The 20,847-nt window shown below is 42.8% G+C and overlaps 1 annotated feature.

The window, feature by feature from the left end:
• Positions 16,261-16,417: a silencer, noted in NCBI's record as "fragment chr19:35666754-35666910 (GRCh37/hg19 assembly coordinates)". NCBI's record gives its function as "represses an EF-1alpha promoter that drives an FKBP-Casp9 reporter gene in an ReSE screen in phorbol 12-myristate 13-acetate-treated (for megakaryocytic differentiation) K562 erythroleukemia cells {active_cell/tissue: K562(+PMA)}" and the evidence as "EXISTENCE:reporter gene assay evidence [ECO:0000049][PMID:32094911]".

Here is a 20,847-nt window from a genome sequence, read left to right as displayed (position 1 = left end):
ACTATATGCTCTCAACAAGAAACTCTTTAAATTTAAGGAAATTTGTAGATTAAAAGTAAAAGAGTGAAAAAAGATATACCTGTAAAATTAATCAAAAGAAAGCTGGAGTTGTTATATTTATATCAGACAAATTAAAGTTCAGAGAAAAAAATTACCAGGAGTAAAGAGAAGCATTTCATATTGATAAAAGGGTCAATTATGATGTATTAACCTAACAGAGCTTCAAAATACGCAAAGCCGTGACAAGCAGAGAGAGGGCTGATGAAGCTGTTAGATTAAATGTTGCATGCATGAAACAGGCTGCAGGTCTTGTTGGGCCTTTTTTGGGGCAATTACACTAGTATTTAAAAACCAGCTTTCTTGAATAATCTGATTTCATGCACAGTAATTGCACAGCACCATTCCCAAGAATGAAATATCCATATATGGTATTAAAAACCATTTTATTTTTCTTTCCTGGAAAAAAAAAACAACACACAAAGTGAAAACTGACAAGACAGGAAAGAGAATAAATAATTCTACAACTGTAGTTAGAGACCAACATTCCCCTCTCAGTAATAAATATAATTAGTAGAGAGAAAATTAAGGATATAGAAGTTATACATCACAGACATAGAACTTACCCATCAACCAAATGGCTTTAATCAATATTTATGGAACATCTCCCCCCAAAATAGCAGAATAAGCAGCCTTTTTACATGCACATGGAACACTCACCGTGACAAATGGAATTGTGAGTCATGAAACAGAAGTTAAAAAGTTGAAAAAATTTGAAATCATATGAAGTATGTTCTTTGACCGTTTAGAACTTTTTTTTTTTTGAGACATAGTCTCACTCTGTCACCCAGGCTGGAGTGCAATAGCACAATCATAGCTCACTGAAACCTCAAACTTCTGGGCTCACGTGAAATTTTTTGTAGAGATGAGGTCTTGCTATGTTGCCCAGGTTGGTCTTGAACTCCTTGCCTCAAGTGATCCTCCTGCTCTGGCATCCCAAAGTGCTGAGATAACAGGCATGAGCCACCATACCTGGCCAGCATTAAACTAGAAATCAATAACAGGAAGATAACAGGACAATCTTTAATCATTTGAAAAATAGGACATTCCAAAGGGAATTAGGAAATATTTGTAGCTGAAAGAAAGTAAGAAACCTATCAAAATTTGTGGAATTCTGTTAAAGAAGTGCTTATATAAAAATGTATAGTCTTAAATGTTGATTATATTAGAAAAGAAGAAAGATCTCAAGTCAATAATCTAAGTTTTCACCATAGGAAATTAGAAAATGAAGAGCAAAATAAACCCAAATGAAGAGCAAGGAAAAAATAAGTGCAAAAATCAATGAAAACAAAAAAGCAATAGAAGAAATCAGTAAAACCAAAAGCTGTTTCTTTGAAAAGATCAGTAAAATTGATAAACCTCTAACAAGACTGAGGAGAGAAGAAGGGAGAGAAAGAGATAGAGGTAGAGATAAAGAGAGAAGAGAGAGAAGGGAGGGATTATCAATATTAGGGTAGAAAGAGGACAGCTATCACCACAGACCCTATAATTATTAAAAAGCTTATAAAGGAATATCAGTAATAACTCTATACACATAAATATCAAAATTTAGATGAAATGGACCAATTTCTCAAAAACTACCAGCTACTACATTCACCACTGTTGAAATAGATAATATGAATAGTCTAGTAACTATTAAATAAATTGCATGTATAGTTAATGCCATTTTAAAAAATCTCCTGGCCCAGGTGGTTTCAATGGTTTTAAATAAGTAATTTAAAGAAGAAATAGCACTAATTCTTCATAATTTCTTCCAGAAAATACAAAAGGAGAAATACTCTCCAACTCATGTTATGAAGCCAGCATTACCCTGATGACAAACCAGATAGACAGTACAAAAAATAATAATAAACACAACTAAAATACTCCTCATGAATATAGATGCAAAAATACTCAATAAAATGTTAGCAAATTGAACTCGGCAATATGTAAAATGAGTAGTAAACTATGACCGGCCGGGCGCGGTGGCTCACACCTGTAATCCCAGCACTTTGGGAGTCTGAGGTGGGCGGATCACCTGAGATCAGGAGTTCAAGACCAGACTGACCAACATGGAGAAAACTCATCTCTACTAAAAATACAAAATTAGCCAGGCATGGTGGTGCACAGCCTGTAATCCCAGCTACTTAGGAGGATGAGGCAGGAGAATCACTTGAACCCAGGAGGCAGAGGTTGGGGTGAGCCGAGATCCTGCCATTGCACTCCAGCCTGGGCAACAAGAGTGAAACTCTGTCTCAAAATAATAATAATAATAAATGAATAAATACAATAAACTATGACCAAATGGGATTTATACTAAGAATGCAACAATGGTCCAATTTTTTAAAATCAATCACTATTACCATATTAACCATCTAAAGAAGAAAAATCATGATTATATCAATAGGTGCAGACAAAGTATTGACAAAATAAAACACTCATACATGTTTTGTTTTGTTTTGCAAAAAATAATCCTAGCAAACTAGGAATAGAAGAGAACTTCATCAACCTGATAAAGAGCATCAAAAAGCCTACAGCTAATATCATACCAAACAGTGAAAAATGAATGCTTTCTTTCTTAAGATTGGGAACAAGACAAGCATGTTCACCATTTCTATTCAACATCATATTGAAAGTCTTAGCCAGTGTAATAAGTCAAGAAATGGAAGTAAGAGGCATATAGATTGGGAAGGAAAAAATAAAACTGTTCCCATCCCCAGTTGAAATGATTGTTTATGTAGAAAATCTCAATAAATATAAAATCAATCAATAAATAAAACAAAAAACCCCTGGCACTAATAAAGAAATTTTGTAGGAAACACAAGCTAATATGGCAGATGTAAATCCAATTGTATAAATAATAACATTAAATGTTGATGAAATGAACAATTCAATTAAAAGTCAAATATTTCAGACTAGATTTTTTTTAAAAACCAAGATACAGCCAAAAGCTATCTATAGGAAAAACATGTAAGATTCAAAAATGTAAAGTAAAATGATGAAAGACAATATATCAATATATCATGCAGTGACTACAAGAAAGCTGGAGTGGCAATACTAACGTCAGAAAAAATAAGCTTTGTAACAAAAAAGTTATTACAGATAAAGAGAAGCATTGTATAATGATAAGGCGGTCAGTCCATCAGAATATATAACAATATAAACACATATACATCTAATAATAAAGCACCAAAATACATAAAGCAAAAACTAATAAAAATGAATAGAGAAATGAACAAATCCACAATAATAGTTGGAGACTTCAGTACCTCACTTCCAATAATGGATAGAACAACTAGGCATAAAATCAACAAGAAAATGGAAGATCTGAACAGTATTAATCAACCAGATATAACAGACAACTATAGCACACTTCTCCCAACAAAAGCAGAATACACAATCTTCTCGACTGCACGGAGAATATTCTGTAGGATAGAACCTGCACTAGGCAACAAAACAAATCTGTATAAAATTTTGATTTTAAAATTAAAATCAAAATCATGCGGCTGGGCACAGTGGCTCATGCCTGTAATCATAGAACTTTGGGAGGTTCAGGTGAGAGGATCACCTGAGGTCAGGAGTTCGAGACCAGCCTGGCCAACATGGCGAAACCCTGTCTCTACTAAAAATACAAAAATTAGCCAGGCATGGTGGCGATCTGCAATCTCCACCTCCTGGGTTCAAGCGATTCTCCTGCCTCAGCCTCCCAAATAGCTGGGACTACAGGCGCCCGCCACCACTCTTGGCTAATTTTTTTGTATTTTTAGTAGAGACAGGGTTTCACTATGTTGGCCAGGCTGGTCTTGAGGCCAGGCTGGTCTTGAACTCCTGACCTAGTGATCCACCCTCCTCAGCCTCCCAAAGTGCTGGGATTACAGGCATGAGCCATCGTGCTGGCCGTAAATTCTTTTTTTTTTTTTTTTTTTTTGAGATGAAGTCTTGCTCTGTCGCCCAGGATGGAGTGCAGTGGTGTGATTTTGGCTCACTGCAACCTCAGCCTCCCGGATTCAAGCGATTATCCTGCTCAGCCTCCAAAGTAGCTGGGATTACAGGTACCCACCACCATGCCTGGCTAATTTTTGTATTTTTAGCAGAAATGGGGTTTCACCATGTTGGCCAGGCTGGTCTCGAACTCCTGACCTCAAGTGATCCACCTGCCTTGGCCTTTCAAAGTGTTGGGACTGGCGTGAGCCACTGCGCCCAGTTGAAATAAATTATTAGAAGACATATACTACTGAAACTGATTCAAGAGAAATCAGACAATTTGAATAGTCCTCTAATAAGTAAAGAGATTGAATTAATGACCAAAGACACACACACACATACACACACACACACACACACACACACACACACACACCAAGAACCAGATAGCTTCACTGGCAGATTTTTCTAAAAATTTAAAGAAGAGCTAATACCAATTCTTCTCAAACTCTTGCAAAAATTAAAAAAAGGAGGCAACGCTTTCCAGTGGATTATTTGGGACCAGTATTACCCCAGTACAAAAACCAGAGAAAGACACAAGAAAACTACAGACAAATATCTCTTATAAATATAAATGCAAATATCCTTAACACAATACTAGCAAACTAAATCCAGAGACATATAAAAAGTGTTATAGACCACGACCAAGTGGGACTTATTCCAGGAATGTAACAGTGGCTTCACATCTGAAAATTAGTGTAATACACCATATCAACAGAATAAATTACAAAACCACATGATCATTTTAATGGACACAGAAAAGTCTTAAACCAGATGGCTTCATGAGTTAGTTCAACAAAACTTTTTTTTTCTTTTGAGACAGAGTCTCCCTCTGTTGCCCAGGCTGGAATGCAGCAGTGTGATCTCGGTTCACTGCAACCTCTGCCTCCCAGGTTCAAGGGGATTATCTTGCCTCAGGTTCCCGAGTAGTTGGGATTAGAGGTGCCTGCCAGCACGCCAGGCTAATTTTTGTATTTTTAGTAGAGACGGGGTTTCGCCATGTTGGCCAGGCTGGTCTCGTACTCCTGACCTTAGATGATCTGCCCCCCTCGGCCTCCCAAAATGCTGGGATCACAGGCGTGAGCCACCACACCTCATCACTGCAGCCACTATGGAAAACAGTCCAGTAGTTCCTCAAACTGTTAAAAATGCAGTCACCATTTGACCCAGCAATTTTATTCCTAAGAGAAATGAAAACTTATGTCCACATAATAACAAATACATAAGTTTATTTTCATATTATTCATAATAGCCAAAAGGTGAAAACAAAACCAAATATCTACAAACTGATGGAGGCATAAACAATATTTGGGGGGGCGGGGTCTGTAAAAAAAAAAACAAAAAAAACCCCAATATGTGGTAAATCCACACAATGAAATATTATTCAGCCATAGAAAGGAACATAGTACTGATACATGCTATGATGCGGATGAACCTTGAAGACATTACATTCAGTGAAAGAAGCCAATCACAAGACACCACATATTATATGAATACATTTATATGAAATGTCCAAAATAGGAAAATATATAGAGACAGAGAGTAGACTAGTGGTTGCTTAGGGCTGAGACATTTGGGAACAGGAGGAAAATAGCTATGGAGCATTGGGTTTCTTTTGTGGGGGTGATAAAAATATTTTAAAATTGGTCTGGGCACGGTGGCTCACACCTGTAATCCCAGCGCTTTGGGAGGCCGAGGCAGGTGGATCACGAGGTCAGGAGATCGAGACAATCCTGGCTAACATGGTGAAATCCCGGCTCTACTAAAAATACAAAAAATTAGCTGGGCGTGGTGGCGGGCACCTGTAGTCCCAGCTACTCGGGAGGCTGAGGCAGGAGAAAGGCGTAAACCCGGGAGGCCAAGTTTGCAGTGAGCCGTGATCATGCCACTGCACTCCAGCCTGGGTGACAGAGCAAGACTCTCTCTCAAAAAAAAAAAATGTTTTTAAATTGATCGTGATGATGGCTGTACATATCTATGGATATACTAAAAACCATTGACTTGTACATGATTTTTAAAAATTTTTAATTGCTGTGGGTACATCATAGGTGTATTTATTTATGGAGAACATGAGATGTTTTGATACAGGCATGCAATGTGAAATAATCAGATCGGCTTGTATGCTTTAAATGTGTGAACTGTATGGCATGTGAATTGTATGGTAAGCGAATTCTATTACAAAAATTAAAAAATTAAAATAAGAAAAAAGAGTTGCCCTTTCCATGACAGGAACAGTTCAATGTGGCTGGGCGCAGTGGCTCACACCTGTAATCCCAACATTTTGGGAGGCTGCGATGGGTGGAACACCTGAGGTCAGCAGTTTGAGACCAGCCTGGCCAACATGATGAAACCCTGTCTTCACTAAAAATATGAAAATTAGCTGGGTGTGGTGATGGATGCCTATAATCCCAGCTACTCAGGAGGCTGAGGCAGGAGAATCTCTTGAACCTGGGAGGTGGAGGTTGCAATGAGCCGAGATTGTTCCATTGCACTCAAGCCTAGGTGACAAGAGCGAGACTCTGTCTCAAAAAAGAAAAGAAAATTAAAAAAGAGACAGTTCGACGTAATTAATTAGCCATCAGCAGACTGGTTGATTGTCCTGAGGAATGGTGCAATAAATCATTGCTAATTATAGTCATCCTACAGTGCTAAGGAATGCTGGAAGTTATTTTTCCTATCTAGCTGTAATTGTGTATCCATTTGCCAACATCTTCCTATCCCCTTCAACCCCTATCCAGCCTCTAGTAACCACTATTACATTCTCTACTTCTATGATATCAACTTTCTTAGCTTCCACATATGAATGAGAATATGTGGTATTTATCTTCCCATGCTTGGCTTAATTCACCTAACATAATGTCTTACAGGCTCATTAATGTTGCCACAAATGACAAGATTTCATTATTTTTACGGTGGAATAGTATTCCATTGTGTATCTGTACCACATTTTCTTTATCCATTCATCTCTTGAAAAACACTTACGTTGATTCCATATCTTGGCTATTGAGAATGGTGCTGCAAGTCTGCCAGACTCAGAACTTACCCACCTAGACAGATCAAGCAAGAGTTTAGTAGGCTCCCCCATCTATTTCATTTCGAGGCATACCATGATAAAGTAGTGAATGCCAAAGGTCTCTTTGAGTCACATTATTCTTATTACTATTTTGACTTCACTATCAACTATAGTAACCATGCTTACCTTATCTTTGGCATATAAGTACAGATATCTCTTTGACATACTCATTTCCTGTCCTCTGAATATATACCCTAGAGTGTATTGCTGGATCATAGATAGGATAGTTCTATTTTTAGGTGTTTTTAAGGAGCCTCCATACTGTTTTCCAGTATGATTGTACTAATTTACATTTCCACCAACAGTGTATAAGAGTTCCTTTTCCTCTGCATCCTTGCCAGCTTTTGTTATTTTTTCTCTTTGATAACAGCCATTCTAAGTGGAGTGAGATGATATCTTATTGTAGTATCAATTTGCATTTGCCAGATGATTAATGATGTTGAATATTTTTCATATATACTTGTTGGTCATTTGTATGTCTTCTTTTGAGAAATGCCTATTCAGATAATTTGCTGATTTACTACTCCTTGAGGATTTCTTGTAAGGCTACTTTAGTGGTAATAAATTCCCTCAGTTTTTGCTTGTCTGGGAAAGACTTTATGACTCCTTCATTTCTAAAGGATAGATTTGCTGTTACAGTATTCTTGGCTGCCAGGTTTTTTTCTTTCATCACTTAGAATATATCATCCCATTCGCTCCTGTAATATAAGGTTTCTGCTGAGAAGTCTTCTATTAGTCTAATGGGGATTCCCTTATATGTGACTTGATGCTTTTCTCTTGCTGTTTTTCAAATTCCCTCATGGTCTTCAACTTTTGACAGTTTGACCAGAATGTGCTACAGAGAGGACCTTTTTGGGTTGAATCTATTTGGGGACTTTTGAGCATCCTGAATCTGGATGTCCATACCTTTCCCGAGACTTTGGAAGTTCTCAGCTATTACTTTATTACATAGGATTTCTGTGTCTTTTCTCATCTCTTTTCCTTTTGGAAATTGGAATATCTGTTTGCTTAACAATGTCCCATAGGTCTTGTAGGCTTCCTTCATTCTTTTTTATTTTATTTTTTGTCTGATTGAGTTATTTCAAAAGAGACCTGTCTTCAAGTTTAGAAATTCTTTCTTCTGCTTGACCTAGTTTGTTGTTGAAGCTCTCAATTATATTTTAAATTTCATTTATTGGCCGGGATCGGTGGCTCACGCCTGTAATTCTAGCACTTTGGGAGGCTGAGGTGGGCAGATCACCAGGTCAGGAGTTCGAGACCAGCCTGGCCAACATGGCGAAACCCCGTCTCTACTAAAAATACAAAAATTAGCTGGGCATGGTGGCAGGGGCCTGTAATCCCAGCTACTCAGTAGGTTGGGGCAGAAGAATTGCTTGAACCTGGGAGGCAGAGGTTGCAGTGAGCCAAGATCATGCCATTGCACTCCAGCCTGGGTGACAAGAGCAAGACTCTGTTTCAAAAAAAAAAAAAAAAAAATCATTTATTAAGTCTTCAGCTCCAAAATTTATGTGTTTTTTTTTATGATATCCATCTCTTTACTGATTTTTTTTCATTCTGATCATGAACTGTTTTCCTGATTTTTTTGGGCGGGGGATGTTGTCTCACTCTGTTGCCCAGGCTGGAGTACGGTGGCACGACCTTGGCTCACTGCAACCTCCGCCTCCAGGGTTCAAACGATTCTTCTGCCTCAGCCTCCCAAGTAGCTGGGACTATAGGCATGCACCATCATGCCTGGCTAGTTTTTGTATTTTTAGTAGAGACATGGTTTTGCCATGTTGGCCAGGATGCTCTCAAATTCCTGACTTCAGGTGATCCACCCACCTCGGCCTCCCGAAGTGCTGGGATTACAGGCGTGAGCCACCGCGCCCAGCCCTGTTTTCCTGATTTTGTTGAATTGTCTATTTGTATTCTCTTGTATCCCATCAAATTTCCTTATGATCACTTGAATTCTTTTTTGGGAATTGCACAGATGTTCTTTTCTTTGGGGTCTATTATTGGAGGATTATTGTGTTCCTTTAGAGGTGTCATGTTTTCTTGCTTTTTCATGTTTCTTGTGTTCCTACACATCTGGTATAATAGCTACCTCTTCCAATTTGATGGAGTAACTTTCATAAGTAAAGACTTTTTCCTGTATATGTACCCTATAGTGTCGGTTGTGTAGGATGCTTTGGCTGTGGTTCTAGATAAACACAGTAGTATGATCTCCATGTGATTTCTTTGGCTGTAATTAATGTCAGCAGTGTCTGTGAATACTTCAGTGGCCTAATATTCAGGTGTTTAAGGAGGCAGTGGTGTGGCTTTGCTGGAGGAAGGAGCTGGGTGAACCCTAGGGAAGTGTGCACTGGGCATGGTGGCTCTGCTAGTTGTGAGGCAGCATTGCCATCACTGTTGGGCACCAGGCAGGCAAGTCCTTGGTCCCTGAGGGATTTGCACATTGGTTCCCCATGTTTTGGGGGCTGCCACCCTGCTGTGATAGATTGCCTGTTCCCTGGGGTGTGGGGCACTGTATGAGTTCAAATGCTGGGGTCATAGCTGTACTTCTGGATCTAACTGGTGTTGTGGCATTGCACCCTTTTGTGTAGACATGGTGGAATAACAGAAGGACCCCAGGGATGTGGAGATGCAGGAGCTATTGGCATCCAAGGCAGAATGCCCTCTAGCAGTGGGCTCTGTTCTCAAAATAGCCCTGTGTGGTAGCAGCCTGGGTCTTTGGGAGTGGGGCCTCAGTGTGAGTCCTTTCTCTGGGGCAGTGTAGCCATGTGGATTCTAGGCAGCTCCCTAGACTGGGCTTCAGGCCTGTGAGGACCGTGAGGCCCTCTTATAGCTAGGATTGCTGCAAGGACTGCAGGGCACCCCCCACTTACCTTTTACCTGCAATGGGGAGTCCTCTTGGCTCTGCACCAATACTGCTCAGGTGCTTTGCTTCCCTGTCTATGCTGCCATCACAATATTCTGGGGTTTTGTCACTTCTTTGCTGAATTCCAGTGTTTTCTCTTAGACACTCTACGCAGCTGAGTGTTGGGCACTTCTGGTCAGCCATCTTAATGACCTCCACTAGAGTTTCTGACCTACAAAGAAGAGCCACCACAGAGCTCTTCAAGGATGCTAGGACTCTCCTTCACAAATTTATTTCTGATAGCTAGGATGAAAGTCGTGTCCCCTTGGCACTGTCAATGTGTATAGATGAGCAAATCTTACATGATAAAGCCACTCCAGCATTCCAATCTCTCTGAGCCTTTGGCCACCTTTCACTACAGCAGGAATCGTCAAATGACAGTCCATGGGTCAAATCTAATTCCTGGGCTGTTTTCGTGTGGCCCACAAAATAGAATTGGTTTTTACATTTTTTTAGTTGAAATAAAATCAAAAGAAAAATAATATTTGTGACACATGAAAATGATACAAATTCAAATTTCAGTGTTTATAAATAAACTTATATTGGAGCACAGCCATGCTCAGTTACTTACAAATTGTCCTTGATGGCTTTATTGCTACAATGGGAGAGCTGAAGAGTGAAAAACTGAGACTGGCCTGTAAAACCTAAAACATTTACTCTATGGCTTTTTACAGAAAAAAAAATATGCTGATTCATGCTCTTTAGTACACCCAAGGAAATTCTGGCATTTTCAACCTATTATAGGCCCAGGTACGGGTCCATATATCAATCAGCCAACCAAGCAAACTGTCAGAACCATTCCTAGCCCCTCAAGCTCAAACATTACATCTCTGCTTGGTGGGCCAATGTAAATACATTTGACTTGATCCAACTATATTGTCTTCCACCTTGATTCCACACCCTTAAGATCCATTTCTGCACATATTCCCCAGTTCTCTGTTGATATAAATTGACAATTATTTGGGTGTGTGTTGCACCCCCTCATGGGTCACATTTTATACCTCACCTTTCACATTCTCTTGAGCCTTGAGTCTAGTCATAGGTCTTAGAAGTAAGAAGTGATAGGAATAGGTCCTGAGGAGCATAGATGCCTTGCCTTATGGAAGGCCATTACAATTTCTTCAGGGAAGAGGAGACTCACTTCTGCAGGCAAGAGTGAAAGGGCTGCCTCTGCAGGCAAAGAGATTTGGCAGAATTTAGGGGTCTTAAAGTCCTCAGCTTCACTGGAATCTGCTCATATGTCTCCATCCCAATTTTCAGGATCCCATTCCTCCCCAATCAAAGCCCTAACTTTAACAAAAAAGACCCTGTGAGGTTAGAAGTTCAACTTTTGTTGGATTAGACTTTAGCTTTGGTTTTCAGAAATCTCAGCCCTATGACTATGGGAAATACAAGTTTCTTTCAGGGCCACCACTCACAGAAGCTTTCAAGTCCCTTATACAGAACCAGAGCTGGGAAGGTAAAGTTCTGAGTGCCATCATTCCACCTCAGCTCCAAGTTTTCCAGCACAGTCAGCAGCAATGAGCCAACCCCATTACACTTCTTATTTTCACTAAACTGTTCTGTGGAAGCAAATACTCAGTCACCCAGAGCCTTTCCTTCTATAGAAACCTAATATAGGAAGCTACTGGTGATGGTCTGAGTGACTGCCTTGCCACTCCATGCTATGACCTATCAGTGTACCCTTCATTACTGAAAACAAGGTCATTAATGGCTTTCAATTTAATTAGAGAACCAATTCTAGAAAAACCAGATCTCGGCCGGGCGCGGTGGCTCACGCCTGTAATCCCAGCACTTTGGAAGGCCGAGGCAGGTGGATCACAAGGTCAAGAGATTGAGACCATCTTGGCTAATACGGTGAAACCCCGTCTCTACTAAAAGTACAATAAAATTAGCTGGGCGTTGTGGCAGGCGCCTGTAGTCCCAGCTGCTGGGGAGGCTGAGGCAGGAGAATGGCGTGAACCCGGGAGGCGGAACTTGCAGTAAACCAAGATCACGCCACCACACTCCAGCCTGGGTGACAGAGTGAGACTCCATCTCAAAAAAAAAAAAAAAAGAGAAAGAAAAACCAGATCTCATTGTTAAGATTCTGGCCTTCTGGAACCACTCTTAGTACCAAATTCTGTATCAGCAAAGCTGAACCTTTAATACATATGTGGGCGTACACACACACAGTTTGCTACACGAATTTGACCTTCAACAATTGTAGTTGCTAGTGAAGCTCTCTTTGTAGGGCTGTTGTCTTGATGCTGGAACTTGAAACCCACAGGTGCAGGAAGTCAGGAAGGGAAGATTGAGGTAAGATTGGGGAGAGCACGGAACAAGTTAGAACCCACAAGCACAAGCTGGAGTCCACAAGGATGGACTGAATCCTATGTTAATTCTTTTTCTTTTTCTTTTCTCTTCTTTTTTTTCTTTCTTTCTTTCTTTTTGTTTTTCTTTTTGAGACAGAGTTTCACTCGGTCGACCAGGCTGGAGTGCAGTGGTGTGATCTCTGCTCACTGCAACCTCTGCTTCCCAGGTTGAAGAGATTCTCTTGCCTCAGCCTCCCGAGTAGCTGGGATTGCAGGCATGCAACATCACGCCTGGGTAATTTTTGTATTTTTAGTAAAGATGGAGTTTCACCATGTTGACCAGGCTGGTCTCGAACTCCTGACCTCAAGTGATCCACCCGCCTCGGCCTCCCAGAGTGCTGGAATTACAGGCATGAGCCACTGCACCCAGCCCCATGCTAATTCTTGTTGTCTATGACCTTGGTGCTGTGGGTGTCTTGCTAGAGTCATGGTCCTTCATCACGGGGCTGAGCACACATGTCTGGCCCAACAACTGGGGAAGCTGAAGGAGGATCCAGCGGAAGGTGAAACAGTTGCAGCCCTGGTTGCTGCCTTATGCCAATGAGATGAGCTGTCTGATAAGTGACAACTGGTATAAGCTGCGAAATGTCCGTGGCTTCACCTCTACCCAGCAGATCCCTGACAAGAATGTCTCTTGTGGTTCACCCTAACCAGAAAACACAGGCATCTAGGGAAAAAGATTCTGGGAAGTGTAGTTTAACCTGGCCAAGGTGATACATTACAAAGCCACCTCAGGCGATGTTTCAAACCCTGTTTAACCTCCCACCATCAGCAGCTGGAGTCCTTGACTCAATAACTTCTTGAGAAGCCAACAGACTTTACCGAAGCAATCATTGGAGGTCATCCTCAACACCTCCAAGAAAAGCACAATCTAGTGTCAGATGAGAAAAGGCAGATTCCTTCCAGTTAATGTGATCTGGCCTCAATTTCAAAACAAGAACCTTGACAGAATTGTACTCAGGAGGCTAGCTGAATTACAACATCCACTCCATTAGCTCCTGGCAAGATATCTCCCCTGATGTAAGGGTGGAGGAGGAGGAGGCTTCACTTCAGACCATGATGCCACAGAAAAAGATGTCTTTTGCCAGAAAGGGATTGGGTAGCATTGGAGAGCATTGGAGGCGCTGTTGAAGTGATGTCTGGAAGTCTCTATCAAGTCTGAGAATCAGTGCTGCTGTCCTCTGGAAGTTTCAAAAACGACCAGTTTTTTTTTTTTTTTTGAGATGACGTCTCACTCTTGTCACCCAGGCTGGAGTGCAATGGTGCAATCTTGGCTCACTGCAACCTCCGCCTCCTAGGTTCAAGTGATTCTCTTGCCTCAGCCTCCCGAGTAGCTGGGATTACAGGCATGTGTCACATGCCTGGCTAATTTTTGTATTTTTAGTAGAGATGGGATTTCACCCTGTTGGCCAGGCTGGTTTCGAACTCCTGACCTCAGGTGATCCACCTGCCTTGGCCTCCCAAAGTGTTGAGATTACAGGTGTGAGCCACTGTGCCTGGCCAACCCCCAGTCTTAACAGTTATCTTTTCCTTTTACATTGGAGTAAAAATGACTTGAGGCTCCATCTCCTGACTTGGTGGCAGCTCCCCATCCTTCTCAGCATCCTAATCAACAAATTCCTGAGGGCAATTATTTTCCTTGATGGTATTTGGGGTGTCACGGACTCAGCTAAAAGACCACATTTCTGTGTCCTTTGCAATTAGAGGTAGCAATCCGAAGGAAGTAGAAATCTTTGGGAGGGAGTCTTGGGAAGTCCCTTTAAAAGGAGCTGAATCACCTAGTGGTGCCTTTCCTTTCTCACTTTTTTTTCCCCTTCTTGATTTTTTTCCTGGAATGTGGCATGATGGCTGAGGCTTCTGCAGCTATTTTGTGATCTTGAGGCTTCAGGCCACATGCTTAGGGTGGCAGAGCAGCAAGTCTGGTCCCTTATGATATTAGGGATCCTCTTTCCCAGCCTTGCACTATGTACTTCAGAGTTCTGCTATGTGAGAGAGGAATAAATAACCTGTTTAAGTCGTTGTTTCTGGCTGTCTCCTGAAGCTGAATACAGTTTCTGCCTCTAGAACTCTTGCTATGTGAGATAATAAATGTCCTTTGCAGTAAACAATATTACTGCCCATCAATACCCAGTTCCCTTCTGATGTGGTTTGGCTGTGCCCCCACCCAAATCTTATCTTGAATTTTCACATATTGTGGGAGGGGCCCAGTGGAAGGTGGTTGAATCATAAGGGCAGGTCTTTCTCTTGCTGGTCTTGTGATGGTGAATGAGTCTCATGAGGTCTGAGGGTTTTAAAAAGGGGAGTTTCCCTGCACAAGCTCTCTTCTCTTGTCTGCCACCATGTGAGACGTGCCTTTCACCTTCTGCCATGATTGAGGCCTCCCCAGCCACGTGGAACTGTAAATCCAATAAAGTTCTTTCTTTTGTAAGTTTCCCAATCTCAGATATGTCTTTATCAGCAGCATGAAAACGGATTAATATACCTTCCTATAAGAAGATTGTAATGTTCTGTGCTGTTGAACTCAAATGTGCCCGTGTGATTTGCTTTCGATAATGACAATGTGAGCAGAAATGAGGTGTGTCCCTTCCTGACAGAGGCTATAAGAGCCAGTGTGTGTCTCACCTTGTTCCTTGTTCTGCCTTCTGCCTGCTATGATAACCAGAAACATTTCTTTTCTTTTATTTTCTTTTCTTTTAGACAGGGTCTCACTCTGGAGTGCAGTGGCGTGATCTCAGCTCACTGCAACCTCCATCTCTTGGGCTCAAGCGATCCCCCCACCTCACCCCTCAAATAGCTGGGACCACAGGCGCAAGCCACCATGCCCAGCTTATTTTTATTTAGTTTTTGAGACGGAGTGTCACTCTGTCACTCTGTCACCCAGGCTGGAGTGCAGTGGCTTGATCTCGGCTCACTGCAACCTCCGCCTCTCAGGTTCAAGTGATTCTCCTGCCTCAGCCTCCTGAGTAGCTGGGATTACAGGCATGCACCGCCATGCCTGGCTAATCTTTCTATTTTTAGTAGAGATGGGGTTTTGACATGTTGGCCAGGCTGGTCTCAAACTCCTGACCTCAGGTAATCCGCCTGCCTCGGCCTCCCAAAGTGCTGGGATTACAGGTGTAAGCCACTGCACTTGGCCTAATTTTTGTATTTTTTGTAGAGACAAGGTTTCACCATATTGGCCAGGTTGGTCTCAAACTCCTGAGATCAAGCGATCTGCCTGCCTCGGCCTCCCAAAGTGCTGGGATTACAGGTGTGAGCCACTGCGCCCAGCCCAGGCTTCCCCATCATCTTGGGTCCCATCCTAGCTCCTAGCTGAACCGTGAGGGACATGTAGTGAGAGCGAGAAACAAACCTTTGTTGTAAGCCACGAGATTTTGAGATTATTTGTGACTGTCAATTTTAAGCAAAATTGGTCTGGCTTGGCATAAGGAATTAGAGGTTGACAAGCTCTTTGGAAAGGCTGGTGGAGTGCGCTCTAAGTGAAGACTGCAAATGATTCCACAACATGAGCAGACTGACTTGCCCAAGGAGCTTCTCCCTCCACCCTAATCAGGAGCCCCCATTGTACACGTCAGCTTCAGCATCTGGCTGCTCTGTCTGAGATCCAGGGATCAGAAAATCATCACCACCCAGGACAGAACTGCCTATTTGTTTTCAATGTTCTTGTTTTGTATTGAGTTATAATTTACTGTGTTAGTTCATTTTGCATTGCCATAAAAGAATACTTGAGACAGTAATTTATAAGGAAAAGAGAATTCTTTGGCTCATGGTTCTTCAGGCTGTACAAGCACAGCACCAGCATCTGCTTGGCTTTTGGTGAAGAGACCTCAGGAATCTTTTACTCATAGCAGGAAGTGAAGGGATAGCAGGCGTGTCCCATGGCAAGAGCAGGAGTAAGACAGAGAGAGGGGGAGGTGCCAGGCTCTTTAAGCAACCAGCTGTCACGTGAGCTAAGAGGGCAAGAACTCACGCATGACCATGGGGAGGACACCAAGCCATTCATGAGGGATCAACCCCCATGACCCAATCACCTCCCACCAGGCCCCCCTCCATCATCGGGGATCACATTTCAACATGAGATTTGGAGGGGTCACACATCCAAATATCACTTACACATAGTAAAGTGTACAAATCTTTTTTTTTTTTTTCCTTTGAGACAGGGTCTTGCTCCATCACCCAGGCTGGAGTCCAGTGGCGCGATCTCGGCTCACTGCAACCTCCGCCTCCCACGTTCAGGCGACTCTCCTGCTTCAGCCTTCTGAGGAGCTGGGATTACAGGCATGCACCACCATGCCTGGCTAATTTTTGTATTTTTAGTAGAGACGGGGTTTCACCATGTTGGCCAGGCTGGTCTCGAACTCCAACCTCAAGTGATCCACCTGCCTTGGCCTCTCAAAGTGTTGTGATTACAGGCATGAGCCACGGCACCGAGCCCTCAAAACTTAAACGTACAATTTGATCATTCTGATCAATATATGGACATGTAATCTGCACCACTGTCATCAGGGCACAGAACATTTCAATCCTTCCAGAAAGTTCTTTCATGCCCCTTTGCAGTCTCTCCCCACCTCCTGCTGACATAGTAGAGGCCACTACTCTTCTGATTTTTATCACTGTTAATCAGTTTTGCATATTTCAGAACTTCATATAAATGGAATTACACAGTCTGTGCTCTTTCGTGTGTGGTTTCTTTCACTCAAGACAATGCTTTTGAGATTCATTCATGTGTTGTGTAGCTCAGTCTTTCTTCCTTCCACAGTTTGTAGTCCACTCACTTGTGCTGATGGACATTGGGGTTGTTTCTAGTCTTTTTACTATTACAGATATTGCTGTAAACATTTGTGTGTGGGTCTTTGTGTGGACATGTGGTTTGACTTCTCTTGGATAAATACTTAAGAGTTGAATAGCTGGGTCATAGGTTAAGTGCACATTTACCTTTTTAAGAAACTGCCAATTTTCTTTTCTTTTCTTTTTTTTTTTTTTGAGACCGAGTCTCGTTCTGTTGCCTAGGCTGGAGTACAGTGGTCTGATCTCGGCTCACTGCAACCTCTGTCTCCTGGGTTCAAGTGATTTTCCTGCCTCAGCCCCCCGGGTAGCTGGGATTACAAGCACCCACCACCACATCCAGCTAATTTTTGTATTTTTAGTAGAGACGGGGCTTCACCATGTTGGCCAGGCTGGTCTCGAACTCCTGACCTCAGATGGTCTTCAGCCTCCCAAAGTGCTGGGATTACAGGTGTGAGCCACCGTGGCCAGCCTAGAAACTGCCAGTTTTCTAAAGTGATTGTATCCCTTTCTGGTCCAGCTACGAATGGAAATTCCACTTGTTCCACATCCTCTTCCCACTTGGAAGTGTCTGTCTTTTTAATTTTAGCCATCCTAGTGGGTGTGTGGTGGTATCTCATTGTGATTTTCATTTATTTTTACTGATGACTGTTGATATTGAACATCTTTTCATGTGCTTATTGGCCATTTAGATTTCCCTTTCCCTTCCTTCCTTCCTTCGTTCCTTCCTTCGTTCCTTCCTTCCTTCCTTCCTTTCTTCTTTCTCTCTTTCTCTCTCTCTCTTTCTTTCTTTCAAAATGGAGTCTCTCTCTGTTGCCCAGGCTGGAGTACAATGGCGCAATCTCTGCTCACTGAAACCTCCGCCTCCCAGGCTCAAGCGATTCTCCTGCCTCAGCCTCCTGAGCAGCTGGGACTACACCACGCCTGGCTAATTTTTGTATTTTAGCAGAGATAGAGTTTTGCCATGTTGGCCTGGCTGGTCTCAAACTCCTGACCTCAGGTGATCCGCCTGCCTTGGCCTGCCAAAGTACTGAGAATACAAGCATAAGCCACCACGCCTGGCCAATTTAGATATTCTTTTATGAGCATAACTGCCTTTTAGTACCTACGAGGCTAGTGACTGGACACTGGAATGGTACAGCCAAAAAAACTCAACACTTTCACCATCCTATGAGCTCACAGCAAACAGCAAATGGCACAGAAAGATGGTCTCTTTTGGTCTTCCAAGTCTTCTGCGAGGGCCTCTAATTCGCAGAGCTGAATCCACACCCAAAACCACATCTTTGAGCGCATCTGGGAAACATAGTATTGGCGTTTTCATCCCGACCCCATGGAAGATAGAATGAGTGGCGAGAGAACACCGAGGGCCAACCCCACTCATCCCCCCTTGAGTTAGTACCGCCTCTATTCTGCGCAAGGAAGCTGTCAGGTATTCTCCTGAACTGACGTGGTAGCACACAACATGGCTTTAGGCCCCAAACAAGGTAAAATCATGTTGAGTCACATGGTCAGAAAGTAAATCACCTTTGAATATCTCTTATGTTTTGTTTGTTTGTTTTTGAGATGGAGTCTCACTCTGTCACCCAGGCTGGAGTGCAGTGGTGTGATCTCGGCTCACTGAAAGCTCCACCTCTTGGGTTCAAGCGATTATCCTGCCTCAGCCTCCTGAGTAGCTGGACTACAGCATGCACCACCATGCTTGGCTATTTTTTGTATTTTTAGTAGAGATGGGGTTTCACCATGTTGGCCATGCTGGTCTCGAACTTCTGACCTCAGGTCATCCACCTGCCTCGGCCTCCCAAAGTGCTGGGATTACAGGCATGAGCCACAGCGCCCGGCCTTGAATATCTCTTAATCCATCAAATGAGATGAGGGAGAAAGTCTCTATAGTAAGGAATTAATTTTACCCCAAAGGGCTGACTTCTGGCCTTGCTGTTGGAAGGTAATCTCTAAGCCCTTGGAATGTTCTGCCTGATAAGAGTGTCTCTATTTACATAGGGACCTAGGGCCACACCAGATCATTTCTAACAGTGTGATTTCCATTGAGGAATGTGGGCCACACAGTATCAGCTCCACCCCTGGAGGGGCTGGAAACTAATGTCGGCCACACGTGTGGTCAATTACGTCTATGTGACTGAGCCCCAGTAAAAACTCTGGACGCCAAGGCTCGAGTGGGTTTCCCTGATTGGCAACACTCTGCGTGTACTGTCCCACATGGGTGCCCGCAGAAGACAGCGCTGGGAGGAGACAGCTGGAAGCTTTGCACTTGGGACATTCCTGGATGCTTCCGCATGTGTCTCTGTCCTCGGCTGGCTTTCATCTGTTTCCTTTCACTATAATAAACCCTAACTGTGAGTCTGAGAGCATTCGGTGAGTTCCGTGAGTCCTTGTAGTGAATTGTCAAACCCTCGGGAACCCTCAAACCCGCAGCTGGTGTCAGAAGTGAGACTCACAGTCAGAGCTGAGAGTTCCAAAGAAACTCCCAAACCCTGCAGTTTCTTTGGGCAGCAGCGTGAAGATCACCTCCCTGATATTTGAGGGTCTCCCTCCAACACCACAGACCCAGGCCTCTGGTTCACAGCCCTCTGCAAGAAACTCCAGACCCAGCTAGAATGCAACATAACATCTTCATTTCTTTTCACTGGATTTATTTATTTATTTGACAGAGTCTCACTCTGTCACCCAGGCTGGAGTGCAGTGACACGATCTCAGCTAACGGCAGCCTCTGCCTCCTGAGTTCGAGCAATTTTTGTGCTTCAGCTTCCTGGGTAGCTGGGACTACAGGCGTGCGATACCACGCCCAGCTAATTTTTGTATTTTTATATAGTAGAGACAGGGTTTCACCATCTTGGCCAGGCTGGTCTCTTACTCCTGACCCCAAATAATCTACCCACCTCGGTCTCCCTCCCAAAGTGCTGAGATTACAGGCGTGAGCCACTGCGCCTGGCCTTGGATTTATCTTTATAGCTATCTTCTATCTATATCAAGCAGTACTGATTTTCCATACATGATTGTGGCTTTTAAAATAAATATGTTTAAACTAAAAAGGGAGTTGATCTTTTAAAAGAGAGAATAATAGTACAGATGGGGTGAAAATATGTCATAAGTTGGGAATATGTGATGATTGAAGTTTGAGAACTATCGTACTAGAAACATCTTGCACACACTGGTGTGGCCACCACCCAGCCAGCAGGCAAAAATAGCTGCCAGCATTTCCTGTTCTAACCGGAAATTTATCTTCCCTGCCACAACCTATGTCCCCCACTGCCCAGTGCTTCTCAACGTTTTCAAAAAGCAACCTGCAGTATGAAATGCATTTCATATCACACTATCATGTATACTGTTAGGTTGAGCCATATGACATTGCTAGTTTTATAGGTCAAACACATTTGAATATTGACATTTTCAAATTATTCAACTTAATATATATAATCAGGCTGGGCATGGTGGCTCACACCTGTAATCCCAGCACTTTGGGAGGCTGAGGCGGGCGGATCACCTGAAGTCAGGAGTTCGAGACAAGCCTGGCCGACATGGCGAAACCCCATCTCTACTAAAAATACAAAAATTAGCCAGGCGTGGTGGCGGGCGCCTGTGATCTCAGCTGCTTGGGAGGCTGAGGCAGGAGAATCGCTTGAACCTGGGAAGCAGAGGTTGCAGTGAGCTGAGATCACTCCACTGCAGTCCAGCTTGGGTGACAGAGCAAGAGTCCATCTAAA

The sequence above is a fragment of the Homo sapiens genome, chromosome 19 (assembly GCF_000001405.40).
Source record: "Homo sapiens chromosome 19, GRCh38.p14 Primary Assembly".
Taxonomy (NCBI): domain Eukaryota; kingdom Metazoa; phylum Chordata; class Mammalia; order Primates; family Hominidae; genus Homo; species Homo sapiens.
Note: the sequence above shows the minus strand (reverse complement) of the source record. Positions and strands in the feature narration are given on the sequence as shown.